The 12,886-nt window shown below is 51.6% G+C and overlaps 1 protein-coding gene across 8 annotated transcripts in view, besides 2 other annotated features; it reads right to left on the bottom strand.

The window, feature by feature from the left end:
• The window catches only part of CABP1 (calcium binding protein 1), a 40,241-nt gene that overhangs the window by 18,278 nt on the left and 9,077 nt on the right, over nucleotides 1-12,886 (bottom strand). For 2 of the 8 annotated variants that reach the window (XM_017020238.3, NM_031205.4), the window contains exons 1-6: nucleotides 11,907-12,312; nucleotides 6,317-6,496; nucleotides 2,681-2,711; nucleotides 2,250-2,393; nucleotides 1,749-1,858; nucleotides 1,371-1,518 (exon numbers count right to left, since the gene is read on the bottom strand). In XM_017020238.3, the coding sequence (XP_016875727.1) occupies nucleotides 1,371-1,518; nucleotides 1,749-1,858; nucleotides 2,250-2,393; nucleotides 2,681-2,711; nucleotides 6,317-6,496; nucleotides 11,907-11,951 (658 nt within the window). In that variant the 5' untranslated portion in view covers nucleotides 11,952-12,312. The other 6 variants (XM_017020239.3, NM_004276.5, XM_017020235.2 and 3 more) reach the window with 4 other exon arrangements.
• Nucleotides 3,236-3,735: an enhancer, noted in NCBI's record as "H3K4me1 hESC enhancer chr12:121096657-121097156 (GRCh37/hg19 assembly coordinates)". NCBI's record gives its function as "activates a minimal SCP1, AML or CMV promoter by ChIP-STARR-seq in primed H9 embryonic stem cells {active_cell/tissue: H9 hESC(primed)}" and the evidence as "EXISTENCE:reporter gene assay evidence [ECO:0000049][PMID:30033119]".
• Nucleotides 3,736-4,237: an enhancer, noted in NCBI's record as "H3K4me1 hESC enhancer chr12:121096155-121096656 (GRCh37/hg19 assembly coordinates)". NCBI's record gives its function as "activates a minimal SCP1, AML or CMV promoter by ChIP-STARR-seq in primed H9 embryonic stem cells {active_cell/tissue: H9 hESC(primed)}" and the evidence as "EXISTENCE:reporter gene assay evidence [ECO:0000049][PMID:30033119]".

Raw genomic sequence — 12,886 nt, 5'->3', positions numbered from 1 at the left:
AGGAGTTCAAGACTAGCCTGGTCAACATGGTGAAACCCCGTCTCAACTGAAAATACAAAAATTAGCCGGGCATGGTGGTGGGCGCCTGTAATCCCAGCTACTTGGGAAGCTGAGGCAGGAGAATCACTTGAATCTGGGAGGCGCAGTTTGCAGTGAGCCAAGATCCTGCCACCACACTCCAGCCTGGGCAACAGAGTGAGACTCTGTCTCAAACAAACAAACAAACAAACAACAACAAAAAAGCCCTCCTGGCAAAAAGATCAGTGTATTCAAGAGGGACCCTAGCAGCTTCACTGATCACAAGTATTTTGGTGGAGTGTGAATGAAGGACTGTTGAGTTGTGGCTGGGGAGGTGAGCTGTGGTCAGATCTTAGGGAGCCTGAGTGTCCAGTTGAGGAATGTAATGTTCAGAAAACACCTACCGTGGATGGATGCATGCGTGGGTAGACAGATAAATGGATAGAGAAGGATGGGTGCAGATGGACACAGGGATGGGTGAATGGATGAGTAGATGGATATAGATGAGGAAATGACTGAACAGATAGATGGATAGATCAATGCAAGTATGGGTAGAAGTATATGCAGACGAAGAGACATGAATGTGTGAATGGAAGTATAGAAGTGTGAACACATAGAGAGATCTATATGAGTAGATGAATACATAGATAGATTCATGGGTGAATGTAGAGAAGAATGAATAGATGCACGAATGGACAGATAAATGCATGGATAAATTGCTATAGGAATGATTGCTTAGAGATGGAGGAATGGATAAATAGGCATCTGGACAGATAAGGAGATAAACAGATGAAAAATGGAGAGATAGATATGGAAAGATGGACAGATAGATGAATAGGTAGATGAATGGATGGACAGATGGATGGATAGGTGGATGGATGGATGGATGGATGGATAGATATGTAGACGAATGGATGGACGGATGGATGGATGGATAAATGGATGGATGGATGATGGACAGATAGATAGATAGGTAGATGAATGGATGAATGGATAAATGGACAGATGGATGGATAGGTAGAGGATGGATGGATGGATAGATGGGTAGATAAATGGATGGATGGATGGATGGTGGACAGATGGATAGATAGGTAGATGAATGGATGGATAAATGGACAGATGAATGGAAAGGTAGAGGATGGATAGATGGATGGACAGATGCATGAATAGATGCATGGGGAAGGGATGGGAGATGGATTAGACGGGGGCATGGACGGAGGGATAAGAGGATGAAAGGGCTGGGGGTTGGAAAATTAGGGCGGATTGATGGTTGCATGATGGATACACAATTGGAGGGCTCCATGGATGGCCACTGCTGGCTTGCTTCTCTCCCACTTTCAAGCCCCACCTACCTTCAAAGTCCACTCGTCCATCCCCATTGAGGTCCACATCTCGGATAATTTCCTCTATGTCTCGGTGTCCCACCTGATGACCCAGGAGCTTCCTCATAGCCTCTCGCAGCTCACTGGTGCTTATTTCCCCATCACCATTGGTGTCAAACTAGAGAAGGCAGGAAGGAAGGAGAGGTCGCCCCAGCATGGCGATTGGCAGCAGCAGATCCCAAAGTTGAGCTCCTTCTCCAGTGTCATTGCCCCCCTTTACCAGAGACCTTTCTCTGTCCAAGCTCCCTCCCCTGATCTGGGACTTGAGGCTCAGGCTTCTTTTGAAGTATTTATACTGCAGATAGGATTCCAATAGCCGCCCCATGCCTGCCTGCCTCTGTCCGTTACCTCTCGGAAAGCATCTCGCAGTTCCTTTACACCAATCATATCTGCTGTCTCTGCCAGGAGTTTAGGCCCCATTAGCTCCACGAAGTCATCAAAATCTACATGGCCACCCACTGGAAAAGGAGGAAAGGGCTAGGTCATCCCCGACATACCCATTCCCTGTCTCCAACTAGACAACTGACAGAATGGACAACCCCTCCTTGACCTGCTCATCAGATAGAGACAAACTTAATAATAACAAGAGCCCTCTGTTCAGTTCTTCCTGTGAGCCAGTTATTGGGCTGTTTTACAGATATTCCCTAATCTACTTTCTGGGCTCCACTCCTCCAATTCGGCCCTCATTTTACAGGTGAGGAAACTGAGGCTCAGAGAGGGTAAGTGGTTGGCCCCAGATCACAGAGCTGGTAAGAGGTGGATGCAGAATTTGAAGCCAGTCCTGTCTGACTGCAGAGGACGGCAAGGGTGAGGACCGAAGGGACGCAGATGCCTGGTAGAGGGACTCACGGTTCATGTTGATCTGCTGGGACAGTTCGATGAGCTCCATCTCGGTGGGCATGTAGCCCATGGTGCGCATGCAGTTGCCCAGATCCCGGCAGTTGATGTAGCCATCCTTGTCCTTGTCGAATTCTCTGAAGGCCTCTCGGAGCTCTGGGGAAGTGAGCAAAGGTGGATGTGGTCAGGGGTAGGACCCGCAGAGCCTCTGTGGGCAAAGGCAGCCCAAAGGCCCACCGGCATGGAAAGAGAGGCCCAGGAGCTTCCCAGGATGCTGGGGCATTTCTCTTGCCTCCTGTGCACACCTTCAGCAGCTGGTTTCACAGAAGATACCCCGCGTTGCACCAGGCCCCATTTCCAGGGGCCTCTCTTCCCATCAACCTCCCTTCCCACACCTTCCTAGAGGGCTAGGCAGTCCTTTCCCCCAAGGGGCCAAGTTTTACCTTCAATTTCCTCTGGTCGCAGTGATCTATCCTGAAACAAAAGAACATGTCCTATTAGCCGCGACAAGGGACCTGGAAGTCACAAAATACCTAACCTGGGGGCCATCCACGTGGCAGCAGGCACTGGGTAGGAGGTGACGAGGATGCAGCACAGGTGTGCCTGGATCAGGTCCTTGAGGGGAGAAGAAAGCCCCACATCTCCCTTAGACATAGAAGCTCCTGGGCCCCTAACAGGAGATGCCCAAGAAGCCACCAGCCCCACCAGCCTGGGCACAGAACCTCTGTGCCTCCAGCCCCTTGTTCCAGATACAAGAATGGGTCAGCAGGAGTTTGAGGCTGTAGTGAGCTATGATGGTGCCATTGCACTCTGTCACCCTGGACAACAGAGTGAGACCCTGTCTCAAAAAAAAAAAACAAAAAAAGAATGAGTCAGAGAACAGAGCTTGCCTGGTGGCAAAAACCTGCAAATAAAACAGAGTCCAGGGAGGTCACAACAGGGAAAAGAGAGCACCACCCAATGAAACAGGAAGAGCAGGGCGACAGAGGCTGCAAGACAACAGAAGAGGCGCAGGAGGGGAGGGAAGGCAGGGCCATCCTGAAGCGAGGGTAGGAGGACAGGGAGGAGTCAGGAGGAGACGTGGCAACAGAATGGGGCTGTGACTGCTTCGCGGGCACTGCCCCACCTTCTCCAATTTGACCCCCATCCCTGTACGTTCCCCTGTCATGGGATCACAGGACACCACATAGGACCCCGGGGGCCACCAGTGCTTCTGGCTGGAGCCAGGGTCCAAAAAGCACATGTCTCCAGCCTCAAGCAGTGCCCAGGTCTCCTGGGCAATCAAGGCAACCCTGAATCTAGGCGTCAGAACAGATGGCAGAGACATCTCCAAGGAGCAGGCCTGGAGGAAGCTCAGGTTGGTGAGCTGCCAGTTGCCCTGGGCCTGCCCAGGAGGGAGATAGACTGGCATGAAATGGATACAGGTGCCCAGCTGGACCTGGTTAGTAGACTCCAAAAGTGGCCTTCAGCGTCCAGCCTCCCGCATGTTGCAGCTCTTTGCCTTTGGGCAGGGAGGACACCAGGCAGGTGTGCCCGTCCTGAAGAGGCTCACACAGGTATGGCCATACCTCCCACGAACACAGACACGCAGGCATGCCACAGTGAGCGTGTGGCACCTCCACTGTGCATGCAGGCCGTTCCAGCCAACGGGGCCAGGATGAGTAGAGACAGCCACTCCAAACTGGCCCCAGGACAAAAGACGACAACACCAGAAAATCTGCAGATCATCTAGAAAGGGAAGGGCTGCTGAGTCACATCTCATGGGACAACCAGGTGCATAGGACCAAGAGCTCAGAGGTAGCTCTGTGTGGCAGGACAGCGTTGAGAGTGTGTGTGAGCTTGGAGGGAGCAGGCTGCAAGCTCCCAGCTCCGCCAGGCTGGGGGTAGGAGTCACCCATAGGGAGGCGTGTCTCTGAGATGACTGCATGGACGTTCACCTAAAAAGCTCGCTATGGGCCAGGCACGGTGGTCCACGCCTGTAATCCTAGCACTTTACGAGGCCAAGGCGAGGGGATCACTTGAAGCCAGGAGTTCGAGACCAGCCTGGGCGATATAGTGAGACCTCGTCTCTACCAAAAAACCTTGTTTTAGTTAGCCAAGCATGGTGGTTCACGCCTGTAGTCCCAGCTACTCGGGAGGCTGAGGCAGGAGAATCACTTGAGCCTGGGAGGCAGAGATTGCAGTGATCCAAGATTGCACCACTGCACTTCCACCTGGACAAGAGAGTGAGACTCTGTCTCAAAAAAAAAAAAAAAAAAAAAAAGCTGGTGATGGTGCCTGGCTTAAGGGTAGGTCACAGCCATTCCAACACAAACCCATATGTTCGTAGATGTTTTTGGGTGACCAAAAAGGATGTTTTGTGCAATGGGTCATACCAGCAGTCTGTGAAAGCGAGTGAGTAAGCACACGTGTGTACACATACATGCAGAGCACACGCCCTAGGACCAGCTACTGAGACCCAATAAATCCTTTCCCACGCATCAGGCCTTAAGCAGCCTCCCACTTCTCCAAGGCCCAGTTCTGCAGGACTCGGGAGGAACAGGCATTGCTGACCCCATGGCAGCCCCTTCCGTTCCTCCTGTACACCCAAAGCCCCGGGGGCAGCAAAGCCAGGTGCCCCTTCACGGAGTGTGCCCGCCACCAGAGCTGGTCTGCTGAGCACTGATGGCTGGTCCTTGGATCACACACCCCATGCACAGCAGTAGCTATGTGTGTTCTCTGCCCTGGAGTAGAGCCAGGGATGCCCACTAATGTGCCAGGAAGATCACGTGCAGCAACTCAGGGTCAGGTGGAATGGGGTGCAGGAACACGCCTTTCTCCCCAGTACATGTGGCTGGGGAGACGCACTTGGACTCTAGAGGCAGACAGACCTGAGTATGAAGCTCAGATCTACTTCCTCAGGCAGGTCACTCTGCTGTTTGAGCCACAGTCTCCTCATCTGTAAAATGGGTTAATACCAGTACCCACCTCACAGGGCCTTAGTGTGCATTCAGTGAGACAAGATATTAAAGTGTTTAGCATGTGGCATTCAATAAATGCAACCTACAAATGTTTACCTCTATAACATCCTCATTAGTCCTCTCCTCTCTTTGAACTATTTAGCTACTTGTAGAAAGCTGGCCAATTCACTAGCCGCTAGCCACATGTGGCTATGTAAATTTGAGTAAGAATAACATAAAATCCATAATTCAGTTCCTTAGTTGCACTAGCCACATTTCAAGTGGTCAATAGCCACATGTGGCTAGTGGCTACTGTATCGGACAGCACGGAATTTAGAATATTTCCATCACTGTAGAAAGTTCTACCGGACAGTGCCACGTATACAGAGTTGTCATTAGGAGCACAAGAGGCTCTTGAGTCAGGCTATCCAAGTGTGAATCCTACCTCTACCACCAACAAGCTGTTACCTCGAGCATGTGACCTCTGCACTCCAGTTTTCTTTCTTTCTTTCTTTTTTGAGTTGGAGTCTTACTCTGTCACCCAGGCTGGAGTGCCATGGCGCGACCTTGGCTCACTGCAACCTCTGCCTCCTGGGTTCAAGCGATTCTCCTGCCTCAGCCTCTTGAGTAGCTGGGATTACAGGCACCCGCCACCATGCCTAGCTAATTTTTGTATTTTAGTAGAGATGGGGTTTCACCATGTTGGCCAGGGTGGTCTCAAACTCCTGACCTCAAGTGATCCACCTACCTCGGCCTCCCAAAGTGCTGGGATTACAGGCGTGAGCCGCTGCGCCCAGCCCAAGTCAGTTTTCTCATCTGTAAAATGGGGATGATAAAAGCACCTACCTCTTAGAGCTGCTCTGAGGCTTAAATGAGGCAATCCGCCAACACACTAGGCACAGTGCTCACCTAGTAAGTGCTCAAAACAATGTATCTGATATTATTATTATTATTATCATCATCATTATTTTGCTCGTGGATATGGACTCACCAGCACTTTGTAGCCATGAGTGGAAAACTTTGGGGATCAGATTCATAAGTTGGGGGTGTGAGCTCTGTATAGACCCCTTCTTCATCCCAGCACCTCCTCACGCCCTGTGAAGCCAAGTTCAGCGGGCTCCACTGGGCCAACTTACGTACAGGCTGCCTGTTCTCAGCGAAGCCCTTGCGCAGGAAAATGCAGGCAGGGCCCAGCAGGTTGTGCATGACTGCGCAGTTCTGGGCCAGCATCAGGAGCGGTCCCGGGAGCTCGGCGTCAGCCGCCAGCCCCTCCTCGCTCGTCTGCACCACCATGTAGCTGGTCTGTTCCTCCTGGCACATCTTCAGCCAGCACCAAGCAAATGCAAAAGAGAGGCAGGGTGTCACCTCCCTGCCCAGCCTGGCTCCTGGTCCCGGGAGGGGCTTTCCGCAAGAGGGGACCCTGAGAGTCAAGGAGCGGGGTTCAGAGAGCCCTGAGCGTGCACAGGCATCAAATTGGTCCAACAGACAGAGTCTCCAATCCTTGACGGAAATGGTGGTTCCGGGGAGAGCTGAATGTGATGCCCTCTGTGTGGCACATGCGCACACACACACACACACACACGCACGCACGCACTGGCACATACATATGCACAGAATCACACACCCAAGTGCATGAAGAGACAGGGGCAGCGGGGGGCTTCTATTCTCACCAATGGGAAGTGTTCACTCAGAGCCTAATGAGACAACATCCTTTCCCAAAATGCTCCCAACCTCCCAATTCAGTCAATCTCCAGGGCTAAGTCATTCCTCCCAGCTCCCAAACAGACTTGTCCTACTCCAGCCAGATCCCCGCTGGAAGGCAGTGAGGGCAATCGGAGCTGGCAGCATGGAGACCAGGCTTGGCTGGTCTGCCAGACCAGAGGTTGCACATGCAGGTGCCATTGCTGACATAAATGAAGCAGGCAGGGTGTGAGAGGTGGGGACTGGGGCAAAGTGGAAACATGCCCCCTCCTTTTTCGTGTGTGGCTAGTGCACTCTGTCGCCCAGGCTGGAGTGCAGTGGCGTGATCTTGGCTCACTGCAACCTCTGACTCCCGGATTCAAGTGATTCTCCTGCCTCAGCCTCCTGAGTAGCTTGGTTTACAGGCACCCACCACCACACTGGCTAATTTTTTTTTCCGTATTTTCAGCAGAGATGGGGTTTCACCATGTTGGCCAGGGTGGTCTCGAACTCCTGATCTCAGGTGATCCTCCTGCCTCAGCCTCCCAAAGTGCTGGGATTACAGGCGTGAGCCACCGCACCTAGCCTGAGATGGTGACCCCTCTGAAGAGGTAGCACTACTTAACTCCAGCCCAGTGTAACCAGATCTGATTTAAAGCACCGGGTGGGCCACACAAGGCACATCTGTAGGTAGGATTCCACCCAGTTTGTGATTTCAAGACTAGACACTCTCTGCCATCCACCAGTTCTCCTTTTCCTCCCTCCCGCCTTCCCTGGCTCCCTGCCTGGCCCAGAGTGCCGGACCTCTAGAGGCTAAGGCAGGGCCCTTCTCTGCTTACCTAATATAGCTGTGCTCCCAGGCCCTGACCAGCCGATCCTCCGCCCTGAAGGTTCCCATGCGGCTATAAAAAGTCCGCACTGCCCACAGACCTTCCCCTTAGGACAACAGCAGCTTCCAGACACAACATTCAGTTCTCCCCAGCCTCCCGGGATGCCCAGTGCCTCTACAGAATCCAGCTCCTGCACTCTGCCTTCGGCCTGCACTCTGCCTTCGGCCTGCACTCTGCCTTCGGCCTGCACTCTGCCTTCGGCCTGGAGCTTACATACCTTCCTTCAATGTGGGGGGATTTAGCTAGAGTAGGACCTTCCCAAGGAGCGACAGGAGCTGAAACCCTGAGGGCTCTTTGTCTGAGAAGTGCAGGTCTGCGCACCCTATCCTTCCATCCTACTGCATTCTACTTGCAGTCAGATTCCTCCAGGGCAAAGAAGGCCCTGCTTAGGAGAACATCCCAAGACCCAGGGGCAGCCTGTCCTTCCAGGTTGAGACTCAGAACAACCCCCTGCCCACCGTGTCCTCTCCTGCTTCCTCTCCCCAAAGCCCTGTGGGACTACAGACCGAGACTCCCTTCCAACTTCCTAAGCCCCTTCCAGGCCTAGAGAGGGTGGTGCAGTATTCCGGTTCCTCAAAGAGGAAGCAGCTACTCAGGCTGGAGGTGAAGGAACTCAGTCCCAGGGTCAAGTTTGATGAGTGCAATAAATGTCTGTTTTAGGTGATCCCAAAACTTGAGGGATGTCAGACAGGCCAAGAGCCCCTCCTGGTTTGATATCCCAAAGAGTTGTGATTCAGAGCCTCGGCTTCACTCACTCAGACTTCTGGGACCTAGACTAGAGCGAGGCAAGACTAGAGCGAGGCAGAACAAGAGAGACCTTCCCATCTGGGAGAGTGGATCAAAGCATGCCTGAGATAACAGTGACTGGCCGAACCCCAGGAACCAGTCTCAGGAGATGTCTGCAGAGAGTCAGCATTTTTGTTTCTGGCTGAATCTTCTGCACTTGGCTCAGAGATAGCATAACCCAGGAAGGCAGGGAGGTAGCAGGTGGCACAGAACTCCAAGAGGCGGGCCGGGCGTGGTGGCTCATGCCTGTCATCCCAGCACTTTGGGAGGCCGAGGCGGGTGGATGACCTGAAGTTGGGAGTTCAAGACCAGCCTGCCAACATGGCGAAACCCCGTCTGTACTAAAAATACAAAAATTAGCCGCGTGTGGTGGCGGGCACCCATAATCCCAGCTACTTGGGAAGCTGAGGCAGGAAAATCACTGAACCCAGGAGGCAGAGGCTTCAGTGAGCCGAGATGCGCCACTGCACTCCAGCTTGGGTAACAGAGCGAGACTCCATCTCAAAACCACAAAAAAACAAAAAACAAAACAAAACAAAACAAAACTTTAAAAGGCAGTTTAGCCTGCTGGCTTTGGGCTCAAACAGTCTTAGGGACAAATTCTGGCTCTGCCACTTGCTTGCTGTGTGACCTTGGGCAGGTCATTTCACCTCTCTGTGCTCCAGCTTCCTTCTCCATACTGTGGGAGATGCTCATGACTAGTCACAGGATTCCTGCGACAAGTAATGAGTTATACACATAAAGTGCTCTGCATGGTGGCTAGGGCATGGCAAGAGGAGGTGAATAAATAGAGTTGCCATAGTGATGGCAATGATGGCGATGATGATGGTGGTGGCAGTGATGTAATTTAAGAGATGCTGGGTGCCAGAAGGCATTTACTTCTGGCTGCAGAGGAAGTGGGGGAGCATCTGCCAATCAGGAAAGAAATGAGAAGGATGGAGAGGAATTTGCTCCCATGAAGAATGGAGAGTGGTAGCTGGGGAATTTCCACTGCATCTCTTGATCATAATACTGCCTAACACCAAGTTGCCCCAGAGGCTGCAATTCTTTTCTGGCCAATGATGGCACCTGACAGCCTGGTCCTGCCCAGCTCTGAGCCTGGTGCAGGCTGCCTCTCACCATTTCCAGTTCCCCAGATACCGCTCAGGAAGCCAAGTGGGCAGCAACCCATGGACCGACAATTTCTCCTGGCACCAAGGCAACGTCTCCTAAGTGTGGCATGGCAACAGGAGGGGCAAGTGTGCCTCATGACCTAACAGCTTTCTAATAATACAAGCTGGCCAAGAGTATGCACATCAAAGCTCCCTCTTGCCGAATGAATGTCTTCAAGGAGAAGCCGAATGAGGGAGTGCCTGGTGAGCGGGGAGGGGACTGATGCGCTGAGCGGGAATTTGGACTAGACGACTTCTAAGGTCAGATCCAGAAATCTATGAATAACATTTCTGACAGCAGGGGAAAGAGAGAGGCAGCCTCTCGTAGAGGAAAAAATAAAAATAAAATGCCAGCTCTGATTTTACACAGACCAGGGTTTAAATCCCAGCTCTGCTTCCTATCGACTGTGTAACCTTAGGAAGGCTCTATCTCTGAGTCCAGCTTCTTTCTCTATAAAACAGCCAAAAGAACTATGTAGCGGAAAAGAGAAAATGAGATAACAGACATTAGGTATGTTGCAGATATTTAGAAAAAAAAAAAAGCAATTATTAATACTATGATAGAAACACGAAATTGACTGCAGTAAGTTTTTTTATCTTTTACTCTGTGGACTGAAAATCTCTCCTATTTCCTGTTTCTCCTCCATCCCGCTTCTCTAAAACCCAGAGTGGAACAATTATGGTTATGATGACAAGAATACTAACATTTATTGACTACTATAGGCCAGGCACTGTGCACAGCACTTTATTTCATTCCCAGAATCACCTTAAGAGGTGGATATTAGTATGCCCAATTGATGGATGGACAAGGGAATCGAGGAACAGAGAGGTTAAGTAATCTGTCTAAGGTCACATGGCCAGAAAGAGGAGGCCTGTGTAATCTGACTCTTAAGCATGCTGTTGTGTAAGGGAAGATGGGTGGGACAGAAGGATAATCCTTGTTCTTAAGTTCACTTCCTCAAGCTCTGGATGGAACCTATTACAAGGGCTAATTCAGATCACTTTCTGCTTCTCTGGGACAGCGCGGAGGGCACTTCCGATGCAGAAGACTCCCCTAAGAAGATACCAGATTATGGGGGAGGCGTGCATGGAAGAAACAACAAGCCCTTGGAAGGATCTAAGGAACAGCAAAGATTAGAAGGAATTTGATGTGAGCAGCTTAGCCAAATGAGGAAGACGACAGGCAGAAAAGCCCAAAGTGTCCTAAATTGAGAGGCTGGTAAACTGACCAAGATAGGATGGGGTTGGGGATACAGACGCCAATAGCTCACCCGAGGCCATAGGTAAGTCACTTAACCCCTCCCTCTGAATGTCAATCAAGTTCCTTGTCTGGAAAATGGAAGAATTGGAGGAAAACAACGCCATCATTCCCTCTTCCTTTAAATAATACCTGAGTCTCTTCTATGGCCTGGCAACAGAGGGCTAGAAAAATACGCAGAGCCCACCTAACCCAAAACCCTATAGGTGCAAACCCAGCCTTGCATGAAAGATGCTTTAGAGATGATCATGTTCTTTCTAAAAGGAATTTTTGCAAAAACAAAAACAAATCCAAGTGTATGGCGATAAAGCCACCACAGAAAGTGACTTACATGCAACCCCTGCTCAACACATCACCCGGGCAGCCTACTTCTTAATGGAAAAACTCCTGGGCCCTAAAACCACTCGGGTCCTATTTGAGATACTCTGACTTAACTCAAGAATTATTGGGGAAGAATTATTGTTGTTTGGTTCCTTTCAGTAGCAATGGGATCTACTTCAAAATCCACAATTCTGAAGGCTTAGAGGCCATCAGAGAGGCTCACAGACCCTCAAAGGATATGAACGAGTCCCTGCCCTTGCTGCTGGGAAGGGTCTTCAGATTCTGCCGGTTTTAAGGGACTTGGCCAGTCCCTTGAATGACTGAGGTGCCAGTCAAGTTCACTGACATCTTAAGGATCCACCCTTTTCATTTTACATCCTAGAAACCCCAAAGCTACACAGTTTCTTTCCTAAGCCTTGTGCAAATTCCCAAACACAGTTTCACCCCGACCGCCATGCCCAAAGCCTGGGACACAGAAAACGGCAATAGGAGGGTGTTTGGGGTAGAAGCAGGGAGGCAGCCCTGGACAGAACCCCTGGGAAGGATAGCAAGCTCCAGCCACCCTTTCTGTGCCCAACCTCTGAGACAGATGGTGAGATACCCCCAATCCCCAGCCCCAGATCTTGGAAACTCCAAAAACATACCTTCCTTGAGAGATTTCTCAGTGGATACTTGACACAGTTGCCCATCCTAAGTTGAGGCAGCCCCTCTTGGGATCCCCGGGTCCATGAAGGAGGCTCCTGGGGGACTGAGGGACTTCCGTCCCAGTCTCTGCCAACCCCAGCCTCCCTCCGTCTGTGCCGTTCTTCCTCCAGGACGGATGTGAGCCCTCTCTTGCGCGCGTGCTCTCTTACTCGTCTGCCTGCTCCTGCTCTCCGATTTTTTTTTTTTTTGGGTGGATTGTGTGTGTGTTTGTGTGTGGGTTTAACTTTCTGGGCACTTTCTTAAGGAGATGAAAGCAGAAGGGGAGAGTGCAGGGCACAGGGAAAGTCACCTGGAGAGCTGATGGCAGAGGGGAACCAAGCTGGAGAAGGCTGCCGGATCATCTACATCAGATTAGCGCTCAGTCCTGTCTCTGGTTCTCTCCCCTTCTCTCGGCCCCTCCTTTCCCCGCTGCCAAATCTGCAGGGAGATGGCCTCAGGGAGGGGGGCCCAGAATGGCAGCTGCGGCTGGGAATTAGGCCAGCAGGCCCAGAAAGGGAAGCTGGCTAGTTTGGGTTCCCGAAGCCAGGGTGCCTGCCGCACAGCTCCCAGCCTTGTGTGTGTGCGCGCGCGCACACACACACACACAAACGTGCATGCACACACACACGCGCGCACAAACACACACACACATGCATGCACACACAAGCGCTCAGGGAGATGAATGCCCCTTCCAAAGAGCAGTGAGCTGGACAAGCACTCACTGCCCCTGGCAATTCCAGCTGCATTGAGAGCTGCGGCTCCAGTCGAGAGCCTGGGAGGTCTGGTGACGCCTCCATCATGCTCCATTTTTCACACTTGCCTTGTCACTGAAATGGGACGAGGCTCGGGGGCCGGCAGTGCAGATGAGCCAACAGTCAGATCAGATCCTTCTGCTCTGTGTGCAATTTCTCTGACCCGAAGGAAACCAGGAGATGGCCCC

Source organism: Homo sapiens, chromosome 12 (assembly GCF_000001405.40).
Source record: "Homo sapiens chromosome 12, GRCh38.p14 Primary Assembly".
Classification (NCBI taxonomy): Eukaryota; Metazoa; Chordata; class Mammalia; order Primates; family Hominidae; genus Homo; species Homo sapiens.
Note: the sequence above shows the minus strand (reverse complement) of the source record. Positions and strands in the feature narration are given on the sequence as shown.